Source organism: Homo sapiens, chromosome 11, assembly GCF_000001405.40.
Source record: "Homo sapiens chromosome 11, GRCh38.p14 Primary Assembly".
NCBI lineage: Eukaryota > Metazoa > Chordata > Mammalia > Primates > Hominidae > Homo > Homo sapiens.
In genome coordinates this window covers 73,398,164-73,422,351 of record NC_000011.10, presented here as the reverse complement: position 1 = coordinate 73,422,351, position 24,188 = coordinate 73,398,164, and the positions used below count along the sequence as shown (strand labels likewise).

The window sequence follows — 24,188 nt, the reverse complement described above, 5'->3', positions numbered from 1 at the left end:
TCATTTTCTTTGTAAAGAAACCAGAAGAAAATAAAGAAAAATATTTTTATTCAGAAAAATATACAGTATAGTTCATGTCATCAGTTGGAAAAGACATAGTAACCAAAGGCACAGTCGCACTTGCTTCTTTCCTGGTTAACCTGGAACATTATTTTACTATGTATCATGCTGTCTTGTTCACTCCCTGGTTGGCGTGTGGCTGTGTTGCATCCCCAGCTAGACCATAAGTACCTTGTGTGCGGTGACTGTGACCCACGTGTGTTCCCTTCCACCGTGGCGCTCCCCTCAGTGCTGAGTGCAGTGTAGACCTCAGTCACTCTTTGGATAAAAGAATGATTTACTCTTTTGTAAAGAATAAGTTAGTTTAATTTACTAACTTTAATGGTCACACAGTCCTTCAGGCTAATGTCAGACTTTTGGCTTATGATGAAAATTATGGTAAAGTATATACCACTTGGAGGAAAAAATTTGAATGGAAGAGAACCTCCAAATTCTCTAAATTCCTACAGCCAAATTCAGGCCTCCTGCCCCCTAATGGCATTCCTGCGGGGTCTTGAGGGCATGGGTTTGCTTTATCTGACTTTTCAGAGCTACATGTTTTACTTTTTAGAGAGTTGTTTTGGGTGGCCACTGCTTTCCAGCCACATGTGTGGCAGAGTCTAAATTTGGAGACATGTTGATAAGATTTGTTAACACTAATTGGATTCTTTATCCCTTTCCTGTTTCCCACCCCCCCAAAGAAAAGAAACGCAAAATGATTGTTTAAAACAGACTCTCCTCCTCCTGCATTGTCTGCAGAGCCATGTCTTCATGTCCAGGAAAGGCCCTGGGCTCTACATGGAGTACTGCTGGGTCTCCATTTCTCTTATCAGAATTCTCCTTTTAGTGTGACTTTCCTGCCCATGATTTCCTTCTCATTTCTCAGCATCTGCTGTATATATTGCTGGCCATTAATGCAAATGCAGAGTCAGCCTACAATAGCCATAATTCTAGCCTTGGTTCAACAAAAACAGCACAGTCCCTGACCTTCTCTGGCCCCAGTACTTCTGGGATCGAAGGAACCAGAGGCATTACCTGTTACCTGAATGGGCAGAGGGGGTTACGGGATCTCTCTAGAGGTAGAATGTCCTTGTCCTGGTGGAATTAGAGAGTGTATAGGCATACTTTATTCTCATAACACCCTGTCTTAGCCTCTTATTTAAATGTTTTAAGTATTGCCAATGCAGCCCCACCTTCTGCTAATATACTATATAGCACCCCATATCCATGACCCCCCCCCCAAGACTTTATTTGAGTGGAAAATATGTTGCTAAAATTCTTCGTTTTACCATAAACAGTAATTTGAGTCAAGAATGTTTCCTCTCTAGTGTTTGAAATTATAATAAGGAAAATGTCTAAAAAGTTAGGCAAGTCCCACTTCAGAACTCTGTTTCTCTTCTCCTTCCCTCAGGACACCATGAAGGTAAGTTTTTTGAGTCACTCCCCATTTCTAAAACATATGAAGTATCATCCTTCAGATGTCTCGAGCTGAGCTTTGAGTCAGCCTGGGAAGTCTTTGCAGATCTTAAACTGGGCCTCATCTATATTTCCTACCTACCCCAAATTTCATATGTGCTTTCTTAATGGCCCAAAGGACCACCTCTAATTCATGAGGAAATATCCCAGGTGGGGCACCCAGTAACACCTCAGTAGGAGATATTCAGGGGTATGCAAGAAGTATGTCTGTCTGGCCTCAGCTGGGTGTACAGGAGAAGGAGTTATTAGCAAGGAGTGCCCCACTGGCTAACTAGGTTCGGTGTGGCACAGTGCCCAGTGCCTTTTAAGCTACCATGGCCACAGCTCAGTCCCTTCAGAAGAGATGGTAGTCCAGCAAGGTTCATGTAATGTGGTCATTATTTGTGGGCCTGTCTTTGAAAGCAGCTTATAAATATACCTCCAGATGATATTTCAGACAACAAAGAGTGCTCAGTTGATCTGGTGACACACAAAGGCTCCCAAGTTGTTACACATTAATGAGAAAGTGGCTGAGGAATATACCAGAGCCCTAGGCCACAGTGTCAGGTAGTAGGAGATGGTTATTCATGGGCATCTTTGTGGTTTTAGTAGTAGGTAGAAAGTCCTGACTCTTTTAGTGTAAGTTCAGATTTCCTTGATTTCAAATCATTTGGAAACATACTTCAGCACTCCTCCTAACCCACTCAACCATCTCAGAAAGGCTGACCATCCCATGTGTCTGAACAGGCCCCTTGGGTTGTATGTTTCTGTCCAGCACAAGACCCTTGCTTTGTGTCTGTGATTGGTGGTGGCCACTTCTTATTTCTGTCTAATGCCATTCTTGTGTCTTCCCTTAAGCAACTCTGCTGATGAAACAGGCCTGGCCACAGAACTCGTCTTCCTGTGGCACTGAAGGCACCTTCCACCTCCCAGTGGACACCGGGACCGAGAACCGAACTTACCAAGCATCCTCTGCGGCTTTCAGTAAATACAGCCTGTCTCATTTCCTTGTTCCCCTTGGTTGGGACTGATTTGTTTCTTAGGAAGAAAGGAAAGGGAGCTTTTTAAAATGACATTTATGAGATAAATAATGTTTTAAGAGGTTCTTTTACCCAGGCAAAAAATTACCCCTCCTTATTCAGGAAAGGTCATTCTCTTTGATCATGCACTCAGCTTTGGGGAAACACAAAGCACTGAGGGAAGGAGAAGGAAATACTCACCTGGCCAACAAGTTGATTGGGGAAGGACTGTTACTGCATTTTAGGGGGAAAGGACAGAGGGCACATTTTGAAGGTCTGTGGGTCTTTGGACAGAGAGGGCTCCCCCCTCTAGCACAGGGCTTCTTAATCTCAGCACTATTGACATCTAGGCCAAATAATTCTTTGTTGTGGGGGCGCTGTCCTGTGCATTATAGGATGTTTAACAGCATCCCTGGCCTCTACCCTACATGCCAGTAGGAAAGCCTCATTGTGACAACCAAAAATGTTTCTAAACATTGCTAAGTGTCCCTTATGGGGCAAAATTGCCCTCTGTATGAGAAACACTGCCCTAGTGCAAGCTGCACTGTGGGACCAAGGTGTGTATGAGGAGTCTTCAGGGAGGCCAGAAACCAGCTAGCCAGTCAGACTGGTCATATTCATCCTGAGGCTCAGTAGGGTAACTGATGTTGTCACCGTCACATCTAATTTTTAACACAAAGTGGTTCCACTGGGGAAATGAGGACCAATGTTTAGAAATTACTGAGTGGCAGCCGGGCGCGGTGGCTCATGCCTGTAATCCCAGCACTTTGGGAGGCCAAGGTGGGCGGATCACGAGGTCAGGAGATTGAGACCATCCTGGCTAACACGGTGAAACCCTGTCTCCACTAAAAATACAAAAAAAATTAGCCGGGCATGGTGGTGGGCGCCTGTAGTCCCAGCTACTCAGGAGGCTGAGGCAGGAGAATGGCATGAACCCGGGAGGCGGAGCTTGCAGTGAGCCAAGATCACGCCACTGCACTCCAGCCTGGGCGACAGAACAAGACTCCGTCTCAAAAAAAAAAAAAAAAATGAAATTACTGAGTGGCATTTTGACTCCATATAAGGAAGAACTTTGTGTCTTGTTGGAGCTGTTCAATAGAGGAATGACTGACTTTGGATGTGGTGAGAACTTCTCTCTTAAGTTGTGAGGGCTGGATAAGCCCTCAAAGGGATATTCCAGGCAAGGCCTGATAGTGTGTGGTTCCACAAATTATTAATCTACTAAGTAAGTAGACTAGAAGAATTCATTGTATTTTTTTCTTTTCTTTAAAACATCTGTGTTAGTCTGTTCTTGTGTTGTTATAAAGAAATACCTGAGGCTGGGTAATTCATAAAGAAAAGAGGTTTAATTGGCTTACGGTTCTGCAGGCTGCACAAGCATGGTACCAACCCCTGCTTAGCTTCTGGTGAGGGCCTCAGGAAGCTTACAGTCATGGCGGAAGGCAAAAGAGGAAGCCAGCATATCACATGGTGAGAGAGGGAGCAAGGGGCTGGGAAGGTGCCACACTCTAAATAATCAGAGCTCACTCATCAGCAAGGGGATGGTGCTAAGCCATCATGAGGGATCTACCTCTGTGATCCAGTACCTCCCAGCAGGCCCCATTTCCAACACTGGAGGTTACATTTCAGCATGACATTTGGAGGAAACAAACATCTAAACCATATCAACATCCAATGTCATTTTCTCAAGTTTTCATTGCCCCTAGATGTCAACATCAGTTTATGTTTATACAACGTAACTCACCTTTTGTAAAATATAGTCTCATAATCACCCTTTCATTTAATCTACATTACACTCAGTCTACTAAGTTATTTAGGTGGATTTTCATCCCAGTTTGAACGATGAGGCCTAGAAAGGTAATAGGTCCAACGCCACCCAGCTAGTAAGCAGCACAGCCGGAAAAAGGTATCACCCAGGTTAAGATTCAGTTACTGACTTTTCTCATGAGATTGATTTTACTCTTTAAGAGAGGTATGTCAGGCCAGGCGCGGTGGCTCACACCTGTAATCCCAGCACTTTGGGAGGCCGAGGTGGGCGGATCACAAGGTCAGAAGATCGAGACCATCCTGGCCAACATGGTGAAACCCCATCTCTACTAAAAATACAAAAAATTAGCCAGGCATGGTGGCGGGTGCCTGTAGTCCCAGCTACTCGGGAGGCTGAGGCAGGAGAATGGTGTGAACCCAGAAGACGGAGCTGGCAGTGAGCCGAGATTGCGCCATTGCACTACAGCCTGGGCAACAGAGTGAGACTCCGTCTCAAAAAAAAAAAAAAAAAAGAGAGAGAGGTATGTCAGCCATAAGGAGTTTCTCCAGATACCTCAGGTAGAATGAATGAACATACGTAAGATTATATATATATAAAAATAGGGATATACATGTTCTCTCTTACATCTAAACATCTGGATATAGACGCATATAGGCACACCTACTGTAGTGTAGCAGAAAGCAGCCTGGAGTGGAAGCTGCATTGAATTCTAGACTGGGTTCTGTGTAACCTTGGATAATTGATGTCCATGCATTGGACCTTGATTTTTCAAACTGCAAAATGAGGGAACTGAACTAAATCATCTCCAAGGTTCTTTCTTGCAATTAGACTCCTTATCTCTCAGCAAGATGATGTGTACTCAGCGTCTTCCACCCCAACAGGGACCACCTCTCTAGCTGCCCTTAGCTGGCCAACAAACCATCTCCAAAAATGGAGTACTCATTCCCTTCAGAGGCAACCCTTTCCACAGGAAGTCTGAGTAACAGAAGGCCTTGCCTTCTACTATGTTGAAATCTTCCTGAAATCCCATTAAGTGTCCAGCAGCCACATCCCACTGTTCCCTCCCAGACAGGCTATCACAGTCCCTGAAAAAGACCAAAATGTACCCACCCCCACCTTTTTTTTGAGACAAGGTCTTGCTCTGTCACTCAGGCTGGAGTCCAGTGGCACAATCACGTCACACTGCAGTCTCAAGCTCCTAGGCTCAAGCAATCCTCCCTCCGCAGCCTCCCATGTAGCTGGGACCACAGGCATGCAAAACCATGCCCAGCTAATTTTTTTAATTTTTTGTAGAGATGGGGTTTTCCCACATTGCCTAGGCTGGTCTCGAACTCCTGGGCTCAAGCTGTCTGCCCACCAGCTACCATGCCTGGCCTACCTCTGTTTCAAGCAAGTAATGTATAAACCTGTGCCATTTTTTAATGCAGTTGGGGTTGACTGGCCCTCCCATACTCAAAAAGATTCCTCCCAGCATTCAGATTTTGTGGCTTCTAGTACCACAGAAAATTCAGGGCACTTTGACAAATTCAGTTCAATTTCACTGATACTTGCTAAGCCTGTTTGTAATTAGGTCTCCTGCTGATTCATCACTGTCTCACTTGGCTACCAACAAGGAGTCTTAGGGGTCAAAGCAAGATTCAGACATAGAGCTTTATTTTGTCCAGACATATAAATCTGATGATCAATAAACCAATTAGTCTAAAAGGCATCCGTGATGCAAGGATCAAGCCTTTGAAGGTGGTAGGGCTTCTACAACTGAAAAAGATTTATGACAGTGAAAAAGGATTGCAGAAAGCGCTGAAAAGGTTTTATCTTGTTAATGTACATACTCTTTTTATTATCCCATTTGATTCTAAAATTATGGTTAGGAACCTAAGAGAAAGAATAGGACATCATAAACAAAGCCTCTTTTATAAGGCAGAGCTGGGACTTCGAGTGATCTAATTCATTTTTTCTTTCATGATATTGCCTTTAGTGAAATGGGGACAACAAAGGCCAGTATATTAAATGCCCAAGATTGGACTACAGAGACTTTAACTCAGCAAGAGCTCTGCCTAGGGCAGGGTGAGCCCTGAACTTTGGGCCTAGCTGTGTACTGATGTGCTGTACAATTTGGGGAAAATCTGTCCTTCTGGGCTCCAGGTTCTTTCTCGGAAAAGGAGGAGGTTGAATATAAACCTCTAATGTCCTTCAGGCACAACATTCCAAAGTCTTAATTCTGTGACCTTCAGACTTAGAATTCCTTTCAGGATAGCCAGGCCTCCAGTGAGTGAACTGAGTCTAAGTTCATTTGGGCAAAATCTGTGAGACTTTTTTGCAACAAGCCCAACAGCTTCTTTTACTTAGATGCATAAAGTAATAAACCCTGATTTTTGTGTCACCCAAGCTCAGGCTATAGCTCCAGGGGAATTTTCAGTGTTCCTCAAGAGTATTGACAGGACCACTAGTAAATTATGGAAAGTCCTCTGAAATGATTTCCTCATGAAAGTCTTCTGAAATACTCAGAGACCTAGAATGTCAGCACTAGAGAAGTTCTCTGATACTGTCTAGTCCAAATGAGGATATTCCCTGAGAGGAATTGACCTGACTTACTGACAGAACCTAGGATGAGGGCCCCCAGGCAGTTTCTCCAGCCTCATGAAGATCCTCCTGACAAATGGTAACCTTGAGAACCACTGTGGTTAGAGGAAGTAGCACTGAGTCTTAGATCCCCACAAACAGCTCTCTCTTTCAGCAACTACTCATTATCTCATCTGTGAAATGTTTACGTTGGTCTTAATGATCTCTGAGTCTTCTAGCTCTGCAGTTCTGCTTCTATCTCAGACTGTCTGGACAAACAAGCAAGGCCTTCTTCTGCAGCATCATCTCTTTGGCTGCCAAGGGTGTTTTGGCTACTGATTTGTATTCTGAGTATGTGTGTGTCTCATTTCATAACATGAAGAAAGGGAAACATTCTCAGACAAGGTTATTCTTAGATGTGGGAACCAAATTCTACTGCAGTCTCTTGGAGCTTTTTGATTTTCCTCAGAGGGATAGTCTCACCACTTTGTAATATGGCTGTCCTTGTGGCATACAGTGGGTAATCCAGCTTCCCCAGGGAAGAGAAAAATTCCAGAGCACATTCTCCAGGAGCATAAAGGAAAGTCATCAGCATCTTTGGCCTGTTAACTTTAAAGAATCATAAAATCATGGCATTTTAAGCCATAACATTTTAGAATCTTAGAATCCTGGAGTCTGTGTTCCAAGCTGGGACAGACCATAGTAGTCATAGATTAGCTTTAGTCTCTCAGACCAGGCTCTGCCTGCATACCCTTAGGACAGAAGCTTACTGTCCCTATAAAGTGAGAGAGAAAATAATAATAGCTGATCTTTATAAAGTGCTTCTAATATGTCAGGTACTGTTCTAAGTGCTTTTTACTTAACAGTTAATGTATTTATCACAATGAAGTAGGTACCATTACTGTTCCCATATCACACGCGAGACTGATGTATCCTATAGCTATTAAGTCTCAGAGCTGGGGGTTTGGACCCAGGCAGTCAGTCTGTCTCCAGACTGCTCATAACCATGGCTCTGTGCTACAGAGCTTTCAGAAACAGGCACCTTCTGATTCAGGGGTGTCCTACTCTCCTGCATAGAAAAGGGATGCTTTCAGCTCTGCTAGGTTTCTCTACACCTTGATATATTCCTTTAAATTAGGGGTCAGCAAACATTCCTGTAAAGGGCCAAATATTTAGGCTTTTAAAAAGGCCATATGCTCTCTGTCAGTGACTACCATTGTAGCAGGAAAGTAGCCTTAGTCAATATGTAAATGAATGGATGTGGATGTGTTACAATATAACTTTGTTTACCAAAACTAGCTTCAATTACAAAAAACATGGCTGAAATTTAATTGTTTTAAATGTTTATAGTATGAATAAAAGATTCTGTGGTAAAATTAATTTGGAAAATACAGTCTTGTACATACTCCCATCTTAGAGATTCACAGTTCACCTCCCCACCTTCTTTAAGAGACAGGGTCCTGCTCTGTCACCCAGGCTGAAGTACAGTGTTGTGATCATGGCTCACAACAGCCTTAGACTCCTGGGCTCAAGCCATCCTCATGCCTCAGCCTCCCAAGTAGCTGGGGACTACACCAGCCACCATGCCTGGCTAAGTTTTTTTCTTTTTTTAGAGATGTAGTCTGTCTGTGTTACCCAGGCTGGTGTTAAACTCCTGGTCTCAAGTGCTTCTCCTGCCTTGGCCTCCCAAAGTGCTGGGATTATAGGTGAGAGCCATCACATCCAGCCCATCCTATTGTTTTAAAAACTTCTCAGGGTCATGGAATAAAAACAAAATCTTAACTGTTTATCTCTATTTTACATATGGGACTATAGAACTCTTTTGTTTCCTTTTCTTTGGCAAAAACAACTATTAAGATCCCTTGGGATCTATAGTACGTTGTCCACATTTGGGAAATGTCTATCTCTGGTTTATCTATAAAACCCCTTTATTTTATAGATAAGTAAATTGTGTCTCCGTACACATCAGATGGTTCCTTCTAGACATCTGCAAAGCTAGTCTCCCTGTCTTCCCCCACAGTATCTGCTTCTCCTCCTATGACCACATTTCATCATTAGCTCCATAATCTAGAAACTTTGAGAAATCTGCTCTAGACTTCTCACTCAGCTCATAGTTGCACTTCCAGTTAGTTTCTACTTCTCTTTAACATGCTTCCCTCTCTTTCATATGTACTTTCCATTCTATCCTCATTGTTACTTATTTCCCAAGCATATTTGATCACAAAACTATGGAAAAAACTATGGATCTGCAGGTGAAAAAATAAATGACGTGAATCCAGGAACAGGCTGACTTTTGTGGCAGCTGTGCAGCAGCTCTCCTATCCTCCTGAGTCATCAGGGGCAGGGGGGTGCTAAGCCAAAGAGGTGTGATGTGGACTGAGAAAGATTTGTGACCATGTGGTAGTTTGCTTTTACTTGGGGTTAAGGTAGAAGAGACCCAGGATCTTTAGAACCATGGAATTTTTGTTTAGGAAGAGATCTTCATTCTTAGCCACCTGATTTTACAAAATAAGAAACTAAGGCCCAAAGACTTGACAATTGTCATGAAAAATTAGGGGGAAAGCCAGGACTGAAGACTAGATGTCTTCTCTTCCAATAAAGCACTCCCTCCACTCTGCCCCTAGTCCCTTATTATATGATAGAAACAGCACCTCGGAGCTGAAAGGGTCCTTGGTGAGCATCTTATAGGTGAAAGAGCTGAAGCCCAGAGAGGTTCAGTGAGGTCTGCTAGACTTACCCAAGATGGAACCACAGGAAAGAAGCCACCTCAGCACCTCCCCAGCAGGGCTTCAAAGCCTAGGTCCTCAGGCACTGTCCCTTCAACTTAGAAGAGTTTAGAGTCTTTAGGAGAAGTTATTAAAAAGACTTGCCTTTTCTGAGCCCAGGATCCCCTTGTGTAAAGTCCAAGGATTGGAGTCCCTTGATGATCACTTGGGTTCCGTAGAACGATTCCATTTTGTGATTCTAAAAGGAGACAGTGTTGTTCCTGAATGACTCATGTTTCAAGTTTTTTTCTGTGAACAAAGGATCTGTCACTCTTTTCCGGAGGATTAAAAGGCAGCACAGTTTATTTACATGGGCAATTGTGAGCTTCTTGGGGCCTGACTTCTCAGCCCCATTCTTAGCTCCAGCTTTTGTCCATCCTGCTGAGGGACAGACATGGCCCAGGTTCCAGGTTGATGTGAATCTTTGTGATCCCTGACTTCAGGTATTTTCAGGCAGAGGTGGCCTTCCCCTAGAGCCCAGGAGAGAAGGAGGAGCCAACTCTGCAGAGCAAAGTTTTTCAGCATCCTAGAAGATGACGATCTCTGAATGGTGTTTTGTATGGTCAGCATCCCAGAAGATGAGGGTCTCCGAATGGTGTTTTGTATGGTCAGCATCCCAGAAGATGAGGGTCTCCGAATGGTGTTTTGTATGGGGTTTTCACCTTCAAACTTGGTGGGGAGGGGAGGGAACATGATGGAGGGAAGTCCAAGAAGAGAGTGAGAGAGAGAGAGATAAGGAGAAAAAGAAATAGAGCAAAAGAGAGAAAGACAGAAACAGCAGCAAAAAGATACCCTGGATTCTGTGTGAGAAGACAGAAAAGCAAGTAGAGTAGCAATAAAGAGCAAGTGAGTTGAGGGTTTCCATCTCTGTGCACCTGCCCATTTCACACAGACAGCTCCAAATCCCAGGCTGTCAGAGCTAAAAGGGACCATGTGGTTCTAGCCTCTTATTTTATAGATGAGAGCCCTGAGACCCAGAGAAAGAAAAGATGCCCAGAATCATCCATGCAGCCCTGTGCACCAGGACTGAGGGAGCTGCCTCTGGGGCCAGGGCTTTCTGGGTGGAGCCCTGTTCTCTGTTTGTTCTCATCTCTGTTTCCAGCCTGGATTCAGCCCATCTTTGTCTGGGGAGTCGTGACTGGGACCTGCTGCCTTCTAGCAATGCTTTTCTGCCAACTAACTGGAAGTCTCTCTTATTGCCTTGGTACAGGATATACTGCGGGGACACCATACAAGGTCCCACCGACCCAGAGTAACACTGCTCCACCCCCCTACTCCCCATCACCCAACCCCTATCAGACGGCCATGTATCCAATCAGAAGTGCCTACCCCCAGCAGAATCTGTATGCCCAGGTAGGTACATGTCAAAGCCACCTCTTCTGCAGGTAGAGGAGCCTTCAGCCTGGGTGCAGTGTGGTGGGGTAGGGTGAGGAAGTGAGGGAAGGAGAGGATGGTTTGTGGCTCTGGCTAGCCGTCCTTGTTGTATCACTGAAGCAATATCCCTGCAGTCTGCTTACTCCCTCACTCCACCTCAGCCCCTAGAGGGGGTAGGCATGAAGTCATTTAGATTAACAGAGCCCAGAATGTCAGAGGACAAAGGCCCTCAGAGATTTTCTAGCTCAACTCCTTTGTTAAACAAGTGAGGAAACTGAGACCCAAAGAGGGGAATGACTTGTCCAAGGTTACACCACGAGCTATTGGTTGGTCAAGGTGAGACCCCAACGTCTTAGTCTTTTCTCCCTAACCCCCACATCTACCCTTCCTCAGTCTGTGAGCTGAGTGGGGAGGAGGAAAGTACACAGGCCCTGCCACCAGTATCCTCTGTGACCTTGGACAAGTTACCCTCTCTTTCTGTGCCTGATGGGCCTTTCTGGGCTCCTTCAGCTAGAAGATGTATGCATTCCAGGATTGGTATGAGAGAGGGGACCATATGGGGCTCTAGCACACCCATGACACATTCTTCTGGAGTGACTCTATAGGAAACATAAGTGGTGAGGAGAATACTTTTTTAGTTTAAAAAACAGCTATATTTTAGAGTAGAAGACAAAACTTAAATTGATCTCAAGCCTCTTGTTTTATTTTTTTTAATCTCATTTAGTAGAAACATTTGAAGATTTCTGAATTAAGATGATCTCAGGGGCTCCTGTTTACTTCCCCTACAAGTCAGTGGGCCAGTGGATTGTGGCAGCAGGAAGCAGCCATGTGATTCAGGCATTGGGAGTCACCTTGGACCACTGTCTTCTTCATCCTTACCTTTTTACCTAAAGGGAAATAGCTAGTTAAGAGACATCCTGGAAAATGCTATCCATGTATGCCTTTTTTTTTTTTTCTTTTTTCTTGAGACGGAGTCTTGCTCTGTCACCCAGGCTGGAGTGCAGTGGCGTGATCTCAGCTCACTGCAACCTCCGCCTCCCGGGTTCAAGCCATTCTCCTGCCTCAGCCTCCCAGGTAGCTGGGACCACAGGCATGTGCCACCATGCCTGGCTCATTGTTTTGTATTTTTAGTAGAGATGGGGTTTCACCATGCTGGTCGGGCTGGTCTCGAACTCCTGACCTCAAGTGATCTGCCTGCCTTGGCCTCCAAAGTGCTGGAACTACAGACGTGAGCCACTGTGTCCAGCCGCCATTTTTTTTCAACATGTACTTTTTTTTTTTACAACATGCACTTACACCATTATGATACTACTACTAATTATCCTTTTGTGTATGTGTTCTGGAGTTTACCAGCCCTGTTCACATGCTTGGTAACTGATTGATTGTTATTCCTAACTTTAAATTTTAGGCAGCTTATAAAAGTTCATTGCAGTAAGATAAAACATTTTAAAATGCTAAAACCAAGGTTAAGGGAGTAGAGCTCTTATCCCATTAGATCATCATAGCAGCCTTATGAGCAAGGCAGGACAGGATTAGAGCCTTATTTTTCAGACCAGAAGCTGAGCCCAGCACTGCACTGACCACAGTCACATAGTAAGACAAGCAGAGCCCCAGCTGGGGTCCGGACCTTGTGTCCTTCAGCCAGTGCTGCTCTCTCCATATCCCACCTACCTCTCCAAATGCCTATGTGACCTCAGCCTCTTTCCCCCAGGGAGCCTACTACACACAGCCGGTGTATGCTGCCCAGCCTCATGTCATCCACCATACCACGGTCGTCCAGCCCAACAGCATTCCCTCTGCTATCTACCCAGCACCTGTTGCCGCCCCGAGGACCAACGGTGTGGCCATGGGCATGGTGGCAGGCACCACCATGGCAATGTCAGCAGGTGAGGGCAGCATCTGCATCAGTGTCCATCCCTTTCCTCTAGGAACTCAAAACGGAGCAGAGAACACAGTCATAGAATTGGCTGCAGCACAGCACAAGAGATCCTGTGCCAGGGGGCTTGGGAACCCAGAGGAAGGAGCCTCTAAATCTGTCTATGGGGATGAGGAAGATTTCACCAAGAAGGACGTATCGAGCTAGGCCTTAAAGGGTGAACACAGGCTAACTAGAGAAGTGAAAGAGGGAAGGGTGGTGCAGAAAGAACATGAACATGGCATGTTCACAGAATGGAGGAATGGAGCCAAGGCCCTTCGGAAATAGGGGCTTGGAGTTGGAAGGTGGCTGGATCGCTAGCAAGGATAAGATGGTGGAAAGTCCTGAATACCTTGTGGTACCTCTGTTGCACACAATGGGGGTCAAGCAGGGCAGGGATGTGGTTAGGTTTAAACATTCTCTGGCTGCAGAGTGGAGACAGGATTAGAAGGGGTGATCTGGAAGCAAGTAGGTCAGTGAGGAGGCTGTCAGTGTACTTTAGGGGAGAGAGATGATGCTAGCACTCCAGTAACAGCAGGGGCGCCAAAAAAGAAGACACAGGGGCAATGTTCTTTATTAGGCAGGAGCTTAAGGACCTGTGCAATAATTATAATAATTATGAGGGATGACAAAAGCAGAAGTCCCCAAGGACTGTTAGGTTTTTTTTTTTTTTTTTTGAGACAGGGTCTTGCTTTGTCACCCAGGCTGGAGTGCAGTGGCACGATCTTGGCCTACTGCAGTCTTGATCTGCTTGGGCTCAAGTGATCTTCCCACCTCAGCCTCCCAAGTAGCTGGGACCACAGGCATGCGCCACTACACCCAGCTAATTTTTGTGTTTTTTTGTGGAGGCAGGGTTTCACCATGTTGCACAGGCTGGTCTTGAACTCTTGGGCTCAAGGGATCCACCCACCTCAGACTCCCAAATACTGGGGTAACAGATATAAGCCATTATGCCTAGCCTAGAGACCCAACTTTTAAAGAACCAGCTAGGATACCATCTGAGGTAAGAAAGTACAAGGGGTAGAGTGAGCATTTGGATTTTATTCTGTCCCTAACGTAAGGGTATGGTTGAGGCCTCTTACTCCTCAGATCAAGTTGGCAAACTGTTGGATATCTACTCAGTGCCAGCCTTGTTCAGGTCCTGGGAACCCAATATCAATAGATCAGATCAGAACACTGTCCTTAAGGAACACCCAGGTTAGTGTGGGAAACACAGCCACAGACATCACAATTACTACTCAGTATGATTGTGCAATAAGAGAAGCATACAAAGAAAAGTAAAAGGAAGGCCGGGCGTGGTGCCTCATGCCTGTAATCCCAGCATTTTGGGAGGCCGAGGTGGGCGGATCACTTGAGGTCAGGAGTTCGAGACCAGCCTGGCCAACATGGTGAAACCCCATCTCTAGTAAAAATAAAAAATCAGCCGAGTGTGGTGATGGGCACCTGTAATCCCAGCTGCCCAGGAGGCTGACGCGGGAGAATCGCTTGAACTCAGGAGGCAGAGGCTGCAGTGAGCTGAGATCGCGCCATTGCACTCCAGCCTGGGCGACAGAGCGAGACTCCGTCTCAAAGAAAAAAGGAAAAGGAGGACTTAGAATAGTCATTGATTCTGTCCTCAAGCATCAGAAAAAATTCCCCTAAGGAGGTGAAGCCTGGTGAGGTGGAGAAGGGCAGAAAACAGGTCATCAGGAAGGCGAGGGAGATGGGGGATTTGGGCAGAGGGAGCAGCCATGTGAAAGACTGTAGCTTCATCCTCTTCATTCCTGTGTCTGGTGCAGCCTCGTCAGGTTACTCTTCTCTCTCTGGATGCTCAGGTACCCTGCTGACTACACCCCAGCACACGGCGATTGGGGCACACCCTGTCTCCATGCCAACATATAGGGCCCAAGGAACCCCTGCGTACAGCTACGTGCCCCCACACTGGTAAAGCCTGCAGCCCATCCAAGTGAGTGTGGCCAGGGTGAGAGAAGTGGGAGGGGGATACATACAGGAACTGCCTCAAAGTCCCTGGTTTGGGTCTGGAGCACAGGTGTCAGCTAGGGCAGGTAACAGCTGTCAAGTTACCAGTTGCTTTCCTGCTCCAAGGTCCATAATATCACTCTTAATAATAGCTATCACTTCTGTTGACTGCTTGTTGAAATCTAAATAATAACAGAAATAATAATAGCTATCCCTTTGCTTATGTTATCTCATAATCCTTATAGTTGCTCTGTGAAATAAGGATCATTAGCTCTATTTTACAGATAAATATGTAGTTAAATATCACTTAGCCAGTAAAAATTAAGCTAGGGCTTAAACTTCAGTTCTCTAGTACTAAATTCTGTGCCATTTACCTTATGGTCTTCGGACTTCTTTTAACTATGGGCCCCATTCTTCAAATGAACTCTTGCCCAGATCATATGTTAAGAGCTTTGGTTGGAGCTATTTGGAGGCTTTGGGCTGACCCAGACCTCTGGCTTCCTTGGTCCCCTCAGCAGCTCCTGAGGCAGTGACAGTGAACCATAGGGCTCCAGGGATGTCACTTTGAAATCCTCTGGCCCCCCACATCATCTGGCCTCCCCCATCTCCTCCAGGGCTCTTGGCACCAGAGCACAACAACTTCCACAGGCGGGAGGCAGGCAGCTTCACTAGGAAGGCACAGCGGGCTCCCGAGTTGAGGGGAGAAGCCTCCTGAATATCACTGACACTGTTTCTTTCCCCTTTCCCTCTGCAGATCTGGAGTCACACATTGTATGCAACTACTCAAGTCTTACACCGGTGCTGGAGCAGTTCCCTAGCAGCACCACCTCTATTTGCAAGAAGAGACAACGGAAGTGCAAGGGTCACTTTATGCATCTTTAATGGTTTTGATTTTTATTTTTGGTTTTTGTAAAAGCTGCTTTTTCTAATCTCCTGCCTCTCCCCAACTGTCCCCCTCTTAGCCCCTGCCCTTCCAGCTCTATCCCCTTCCTCCTACCTGACCAGGCCATGTCCTCTCTGCTCTTCCCTAAGTGTCCTGTCCCTGGGGATCCCAGTCTAGAGGCAAGCAGAGAGTAGGGTTTATTGCAGTGGTTCATCTGAAGGCTGGATTCCATTTGAAGAGCATAAACAGATGTGGTCCAGGGTAGGAACTCAGAGCTGTTGAGCAGGCTACATCTCTAGGGGAGTGTTCTGGTTGTTTTTTCTTAAGCAAGATTAGTTCAGGACATTCCCATGTCCCAGACACAAATGAAATGTCTCCTGAGAACCATTGCAACAGACCAAGAACAAAACCACCTGAGTATGTAGGCGTGTTATTAGCAGCTTAATACCCCAGGCTGAGAACCTGGGGAAAAAAGTCTTTAGAATTTGGGGGAGGGTGGGGGGAGGGAGGGCATTGTGGGGAAGGAGAGGGAAGAAGGGAGGAGCGGTGCTTGCCTCATGGCTTTGGTTTGAAAGGTCTCTGGCCAAAGCATCTGGCCCTGGACCTTCTGATTTGCACAGTGATGTTAACTGACCTGGCACTTCCTCAAAAGGTGATTTTGTCCTTAGACCTGCCAAGCGGCTGCAGGGTGGTAGGATCCCAGCATCCCGAGGCCTTGGAAGGCCGGATGCCCTGTGTCATCCAGACTTCAGCCTCTGAGCTGTCATGGACCCACTCTGATGAGGAGCTTCCTCCTGATTGGAGTGGGAACCTAGGGCATTTCTCTCCCTTTTCTTTTGCCCTTCCCAGTGCCAGGACTCACCTGTCTGACCATAGAGCTTGCAGGCAGGCCAAGCTCTTGGTTACCTGTGCCATTCATGGCCCAAGTGAAGGAACCACATTCCAGGTGGGTGCTGGCAGCTCTGAAGGTGAGGATAGTGAAGGAAAAGCAATAGCAATAAACATTTCATAGACTCATGGAACTGAAGGGACCTTAGCAATCATCTCATCCATTTCCCTATTTGGCAGATGAGGAAACTGAGGCCCAGAGAAGCGGAAAGGACTTCCCTAGACCTTACAGTAAATTAGCATTAAATGCAGCCTTCCTACCTAGTGGGCACCTTGCTTACAAAAATTTACCTAGGGACGGATTGGCTTGGTTTTGTAAAAATTAAGTCGGCAGCGCCCATACCTGGTGAGTCTGGAATGGTCTCTGGGCTCCTGTTTCTGCTCTTTTCCTCCACGGACTCCAAAGGCGGGGGTTGAAGACTGGGCAGAGGCTACATGGGGGCGGATGGCAGGAACAGAAATTGCAAATGAAGAAATAGCATTTGGAAATTCTGTGAAGACATCTGGAACTTCCGTCCTGTACCTGACTCCACCTCCAGGAGAAGGAGCAGGTGGACTGGCCGAAAAGGAGAGGCCATGCTTTTAGGACAGTAGCCCCTCATCCCGAGAGGAGAGGAAGAGGAGGAAGACAGTGGGAGTCATCAGGAGAGGAGAATGAGGATGAGGCCCAGGAGACAGGCTCATCTGGGAGAAGAGGGACCCCTGGGACGAGGAGGTCCCTGCTAGTCTCAGCCAGGAGCCTGGATTGCCCAGCAGCAGCCTCCGGCACCCAGCGCTTGGCTGGGCCAGCAGCCCCTCTGGGGGTGGGGCACGAACATTTTATTGTAAAAAATGGGATCATTGACAACATTTGGGACTTTAAAAAACTGCTTTCATTTAAAATTCATGCAAACTTGGACATATCCTTACCCCAACCTCCCATGTCTCCCTAAGGGAGGGAAAAATCAGGAAACCCTTGGGTTGGAAGGAGCTCAGAAGCTGTCTAGCCATTCCCAGGAGGGTAAAGCCCATCAGCCTCCTTGGCCTAGAGCCAGGAGTTTGGGGGCCCACCTTCCTGGGCTTCCAAGGAACTTTAGGACCAGTAAGAAAAAATTCAGCTGTTCTAAATTATCTGTTCTGGGTGCTGATGAGGTTTCACTTTAAAACAATAGAAAGTTTTCCAGTGTTAATTCACTTTTTGCAAATACCTCCTTCCACCCTCTTTGGTTTTGTAAAGGTGGGTGAAGGTTGTTCTAGATTATGTCATACGTGTTTGAAAAATGCCAAAATAATAATAATGATAATAATAATAGAAACCTTTGGATTTGTCAGGTGCATCACAGAGGTCAAAGCACTTCACGGCCTTTCATGTACTCGCCCTGAGAGGGACAGGGTTAGAGTTATTACAGTCAATTGACAAATGAGGAAACAGGTTATGGAAGGGAACAGGCCCACAGTGAGCAGCATGCTGGTATCCGCTAGGCTTCCCAGAACCCTGCTGCCTCCATGTGGGCTGGGGTGGAACCACAGAGAGGAGAAAGGAAGAAGAGGAGACCTAGGAATGACCTTGTAACTTTTGTTCTTTCAACACCAGTAAGTAAAACTAACAGCTGGACCTCACAGTTCACAGAACAGTTGAACATAAATTATCTGGTTTAACCCGATGAAATAGAGGTTATTTCTCCTATTTGATCCATAAGGAAATCAAGGCTTGGAAAAGTCAAGTGACTTGCTAATAAGTGACAGAGCCACTCGAATCCCAGGCTGTCTGCTGTCTCGTTCCCCTCCATCTGATCCCCACACAGGCTCACGTACTGAAGCATCTGTGCTCTGTGCCCTATCTTAGCACCTACTATGTAATTCAAGAGCAAAGGGGGGCCCCAAGGTGAAAATAAGGCACTGAAAGGCTGTGGTCTGGAAGAGCCCAGGTCCAGCACCCCTTTTTCAGTATGAGCCCCAGTTCAGCCGGCCTCAGCCTCTTGCTGTGATGGAGATCCACAAGCCTAGCCAAGCTTGGGGAGTCACTGCAAAAGGACTGAGCCCAGGAGAGCGGGGACAGTCATGTGCCTCTGGTAGGATGGGCACAGTTACTGGTAAGGTCACAGAGATCTAGTGGGAGGTACCATAGGTAGATACCTCCAAAGATTCTAGATGGCACGGTGGTCAAGCTAGACAAAAAGTCAGAGCTGGAAGGGCCGTCTCATTGAAGGCAGGCAAGCAAGAGAGGACAAGGGATGTAGCCGCCTGACAGTGAGCTACAGCACTGGCCCCAGGATGCAAACCCCTCTCTCCTCCTCATGCCACTGCCTCTCCCCAAGTGCAACACCTATGGCCAGGATCAGGGGTACAGATGGCTCGTTACCAGCCAACCCTTTTGAATTCTTCTACTTCTACCTGACCCCCTCTCCTCACTGGCCTGGGGTCAAGAAGTTTGAGTCTGGGAGCTGGATTGCCTGCAAATAGTGAAAGCCTGAAACATAATGGTTTGCCATGTTTTGAAAAAAAATGCATATTTAATTTCTTCCTCATGAGATAGGACAGTTGCTGTTCTTTCTTACCTGGCAATGACCCTAAAATGTATATCCTCTTTCCTGAATATTTAGCAGAGACACACACACCTGTCCAGAGCGTTTTTGGTATGCAAAGTACTTTGACATTGGTTGCCAAAGTCCTCCATTTTATAGATGAAAAAACTAAGGCTCAGGAGGCTTGAGACTTGCTAAAAGGTCACACAGCTTGGAAGTGATTCTTCAAATCCTCTGCTCTTTCTGCTGCCACCTGCTGGGTCTCTTGGCAAGCATGGAGGGAGGGGCTAACTGTACTTTATAGAGCTGGGAAGCCCAGTCTCTGAGCTGAGCAGATTTGTATGAACTGCTTTGGGCCAGGACCTGTAATGAGCCCTGGGGAGGGACCCAGAGGCACATCTAACTGGCAGCACAAGGAGGATGAGAATTTGCAACTAAAGGCCTCACTTGGACAAAACACTTTGGGGTCACAATGCCCAGGACCGAAGACATGTTCAAGGACAGCACGAGGCATCTTTCTATTGGGAGACCCATGTCCTTGGTAAGCCTGCACACCTGGCTTCCTAATCCCTGAGAGCCTGCCCACTGTCCAGATCCAGTGAGTTGGTACAAAACGTACAGACTGAAGTCCCTGGGCTTGCTTTTCCCATGGGTGAGGACCAGAACCAGACTCTGAGCATCCTTACCCCTGGCCACCCGAATTGTTCCAAGTTTGAGGTACCCCGTTCCCAGAGATCTGGGGGTCCTTCTTTGGAGGGCTTGCTTTGTTCTGATGGCCTTCAGAAAGGAATCACATGAAGTATAAAAGGACAGGCCCCTTGGTCACCAAGTTTTGGCTCCTCATACAGATAGGACTCATCCAGGTTCCCAGCGAGGCACTGACTAAGCGAGGCTCAGAGCTTCCATATCAAATTCCTCAGCTTTGTTCTGTGCCCAGAGGGGGTGGGCCCCATTCTGGGCCCTGTGAACTTTGTCTTATATATCACCATCTGTATCAGAATTCCTCCTCAATTGCAGTTAAGTGAAAATACGTGGAAGTCTGCTTTTCCATCCTGTATTCTCCCACATCACTACTGGCTGTGCGGCCCCCGCTGCTTGCCAAGCTTGGGAATCCAGAGAGGGGCAGTAGTAGAGTGGGCCAGTTGGGACCCACCCGCAGAGCTGAAGAAACACGCCAGACTAACTGATGGGATTCCACACCGGAGCCTCTGAGCGCACAGGCAGGCATGCCAAGGGGGCTGCAGGGTTTGTCCTTTACTTATCTGCCCCTTTCCTAGAAAACTCCTCGTTTCTGAAATTAGGCATTATATGGTTCCAGGACCCAGCCTTCAAAATTCCTGGCAGGCCAGCTTCAACATTCCATGGCCAGCCCTGCCTAAGCCAGACTTGGGTCCCAGTCCCTCAGTCTCTCCAGTGGATATCTTCTGTGGTGCATGCTGTTGAGTCCAACCCAAAGGCCAACCGAGGCACACAGGAGTTGGGACTGGCTGCCACAAAGCTAGAAAGGGACAAAACAGCACTTGCTTCCCTATGGCCACATGGATAGTCCCTGGATATCCTTGCTGTGGTAGAGGTCCTCTACCCATTCCAGCCACTGATAGCAGGGGGATTTTCCTTCCTAAGGAGAACAGATGTAACAGCTTTGCAAAGTACCGGCCCATAGGAATCAAATGGGTGAGATCAGCTTTGGGCCTGACCCCAGCAAGACCAGCATCTCCAGACCCCAGCCTTTCTCCTCAGGCCTAAGAGAGTCAGGGAAAGAGAGGAGACTGTCCCAGAGACCTTCTCCTCGGGTCAGCCAGATAGTCTGGATCTATGGTGTGACTCAAGCTCCTCCTTACCCAGGGGGGGTAAGGCCAGGCCTCTAGCTACTTGGAGTTGTCTGTAATAATCTTGAAAGGCCCAAGGGCCTGTCCCCATCCTGACTTAAAGGCATCTGCTTCCCTGTTTCATATCACATGACAGAGAAACCTGTTCTCATGGCATGTAACATCCCTGTGAAGAGAGCGTTGTATATGATTTTGTATTTTTTAATTCATTTTAATCTACAGGTTGGAATCTAATTTTTAAATTTTATTGGAACTCACATTTTAAAAAGAAATAAAATTTAAAATAATAATAATAATAATAATAATAATAATAAACCTTTGACCAGTGTCTTCCAAGTAGTTTGATCAAAGAATTTATAGGTGTTTTCAAAACACAGTCCGGAGTGTAAAGATTGGAAAGCCCCATGGCCTTGCCTGTGTGTATGAAGTGTAAATCTGGTTTTGTTTTGTTGTTTTGGATTCTTTTGGGTTTTTGTTTTGTTTTGAAGATCAGACAGTGATCACTCTGAAAGATTGAAGCCAAGAATTTGTAACTATGGTATTTACTGTAAGCTGTAGAACACTCAATAACTATTAAAAAAAAAAATTCCCCCCCAAAAAAAAGTCTTAGGTGACTAGACTGAGTGGTTCTTGGGGAGGGAGGCACAGAGGACTGTCCTGGGCCAGTGAGTCCCTTGGGCGTCTCCCCAAGTTGATGCTAAATTTGTTCTCAGTAGTCAAGAAAAACCTATGGTACATCTTACAGCTGATCTGACAGGGGTCTGCCCTAAGGGTCTCACAGCTGCTGGGGAGCTTTAAGTGGCAACTTCAGCACCCACCCTAAGTGTGTGATGTGGGAGCACAGTGAGGCCATTCAGAGTTGAAATCCATTGAGCCATCCGCGCAATAAAGCTGACATCTATTGTGTGGCTGGTGCCTGCTGCTCATGTTTGTTAAGGCATTCGGTCCTCACAGCACACGTGAGGTGAGCCCTGTTGTTAGCACCATCTTAGATGGGGAAGCTGAGGAGGGTAAGTACCTTGGCCGATGGTACAGAGCTGGTGAGAGGCAGAGTTAGAACTCACATTTGGCACTTGTTCTGGCTCCATAGCCCACGCACCAAGCCCCATGTTCTGCCCATCTCAGAGCAAGCAAGGCCCGAGTTTGTTTTGTTTTGTTTTTGTTTGTTTTTGTTTTTGAGACAGTCTCTCACCCAGCTGGAGTGCAGTGGCGCAATCTCAGCTCACTGCAACCTCCACCTCCTGGGCTCAAGTGATCCTCCCACCTTAGCCTCCTGAGTAGCTGGGACTACAGGCGCACACCACCACTCCCAGCTAATTTTTGTATTTTTTTGTAGAGGCGGGCTTTCACCATGTTGCCCAAGCTGGTCTTGAACTCTTGGGCTCAAGCGATCTGCCTGCTTCAGCCTCCCAAAGTGCTGGGATTACAAGTGTGAGCCACTGAACCCAGCGCCCTGAGCTTTCTTAAAAGATGGATTTGTCAGATGGGAAACCAAGGGGCACTTGGTGGTTTGTGGTTACAGAAAAAGGACAGCTGAGGGAGGCTCTGGCGCCTTCATCCAAAGCAGTCCCATCAAGTGCTATCAGTTTTGCCTCCTAAACATCATCTGAATCTCTTATCTCCCCTCTGGGTGAAGCCACTGCCCTAGCCCAGGCCCAGGCTTCTCTTACTGGGTTATCTGTCCACCATTCCTTCCCAGGGCCGGGCCCCTACAGTTCATGCTCCACATCCCCATAGCTATACCTCCAAGAACTCAGCCTCCTCACCTGGAAAGGAAACAGGCCAAAAGAGGCCAAGTAGCTTGGCTCACACTGCAGCTGAAATGAAAACTTTTAGGCCTCCTTACTCTCTAATGCCTCTCACCAAATCTCACCGTGTGCCTCCACCCAGCCTCCCTTCCTGTCCTTGATCCAATATGAAACCCACCCCCAGTGTCCGAGGGGGCACCTCTGGCCACAGGCATTGTTGGGGCTGAGTCACCATAGTCAGTTTCTCCGGTGCAGGAAGGGATTTTCTCCCAGAGGGAGGCTCAGCTCCAGGTCACAGTGGCAGAGCTGAGGGCCAGGAGCAGGAGGGGAGGTGGAGACTTGGGTCCCAGCCCCTACCATTCTGGCCCATAGGGAAGAGGGGTGGAGCACAGAGGTCAAGCTCAGAACTCTTCCCCTCAGTGGTCAGCCCAGAACCCCACCCTGTCCTCCAGCTCCCACCTCCGCGTGGGCCTCTTGAACTCAAGCGCTGACAAAGCTTCAGGGATTTAGATGGAACAAGCCAGAAAAGCTTCCAGGTGAGGGTAAGGACCCTGAAGACCAAGGGCATCAGACACACTCCTACTTGAGCCCTCAGCTCTTCATCCCACTCTTGCAAGCTAGCCTCAATACCCCAAGGGACAGGTGAAGAAACAGGCCAGGGCCACACCTTTCAGCAAGCAGAAATTGGGGAGGGGGAGTCTGGAGGAGAGCACAGTGCTTACTGTGAGGGGGCGCTCAGCCCTGGCCTGGAAGCCTGCACCCAGCCTTGGTGCACCCTGGCTTGCATGTGTATGTACCTCTGCCCAGGCGAGACAGGCAGGCTGTGGAGAGGGCATCTAGACCCCACAGCCCAGCCTTCCCCTGGGGAAGGAGGCTGAGGGCCAGTCAAGGTGGAGAGGCCAGACCCTGAGATGCAGCTGAGCAGCTGGCAAATAGGGACTCCAAACACACTCTGGCAGCCGCAGGAAATACTTATTTGGGTACACTGGTGATGCCTGCTAGTCCCCTACAATGGACACCCTGTCCTACACTTTGGCATCCTTTTCTGCTCCAGAACATCCCTCCTGATGTCCAGCCTCTGTTTCCTTCCCCTCTTCTGGTGCAGGTGAAACATCTCCTGGATCTTCAGAGGTGTCCCTCCCCTTCCTGCCCACCTGAAAAGCCCTGGAGAGAGACACCTGTGCCCTAGGTACCCAAGGAGAGTCAAATCCCAAAGCACATCTGCCCAGGGTAGGAGGAGGCCCCCAGCTTGGCTTCTGCTCAGGAGAAAGGCCCCTGCCCCCTGTGAAGCCAGGCCTCCCGACAGCCCCAGCATGGCCGCCCCATAGCTGCCCTGTGCCTGCTGCAGACAGGCCGGGGACTCCCACAGGCTGGTCCTCTCCACACCTCCCCAGGTTCCATCAGGTGTCACTCTTGTTCTTCAGCCTCTCTCTGAGGCCGTTAGTTTAAATGTGTCCCTCTCTCCCGTCTTTAGACAACATAA

The 24,188-nt window shown here is 47.3% G+C and overlaps 1 protein-coding gene across 5 annotated transcripts in view; it reads left to right on the top strand.

Moving 5' to 3' along the window:
- Positions 1 to 21,865, top strand: part of FAM168A (family with sequence similarity 168 member A) — a 197,626-nt gene extending 175,761 nt beyond the window's left edge. For 2 of the 5 annotated variants that reach the window (NM_015159.3, NM_001286050.2), the window contains 5 exons: positions 2,353 to 2,478; positions 10,816 to 10,958; positions 12,691 to 12,865; positions 14,709 to 14,839; positions 15,608 to 21,865. In NM_015159.3, coding sequence (NP_055974.1) covers positions 2,353 to 2,478; positions 10,816 to 10,958; positions 12,691 to 12,865; positions 14,709 to 14,821 — 557 coding nt within the window. In that variant the 3' untranslated portion in view covers positions 14,822 to 14,839; positions 15,608 to 21,865. Of the gene's footprint in view, positions 1 to 1,450; positions 1,463 to 2,352; positions 2,479 to 10,815; positions 10,959 to 12,690; positions 12,866 to 14,708; positions 14,840 to 15,607 lie in introns of all 5 variants that reach the window. The other 3 variants (XM_047426650.1, XM_017017415.3, NM_001286051.2) reach the window with 3 other exon arrangements.
- The last annotated feature ends 2,323 nt before the right edge of the window (positions 21,866 to 24,188 follow it).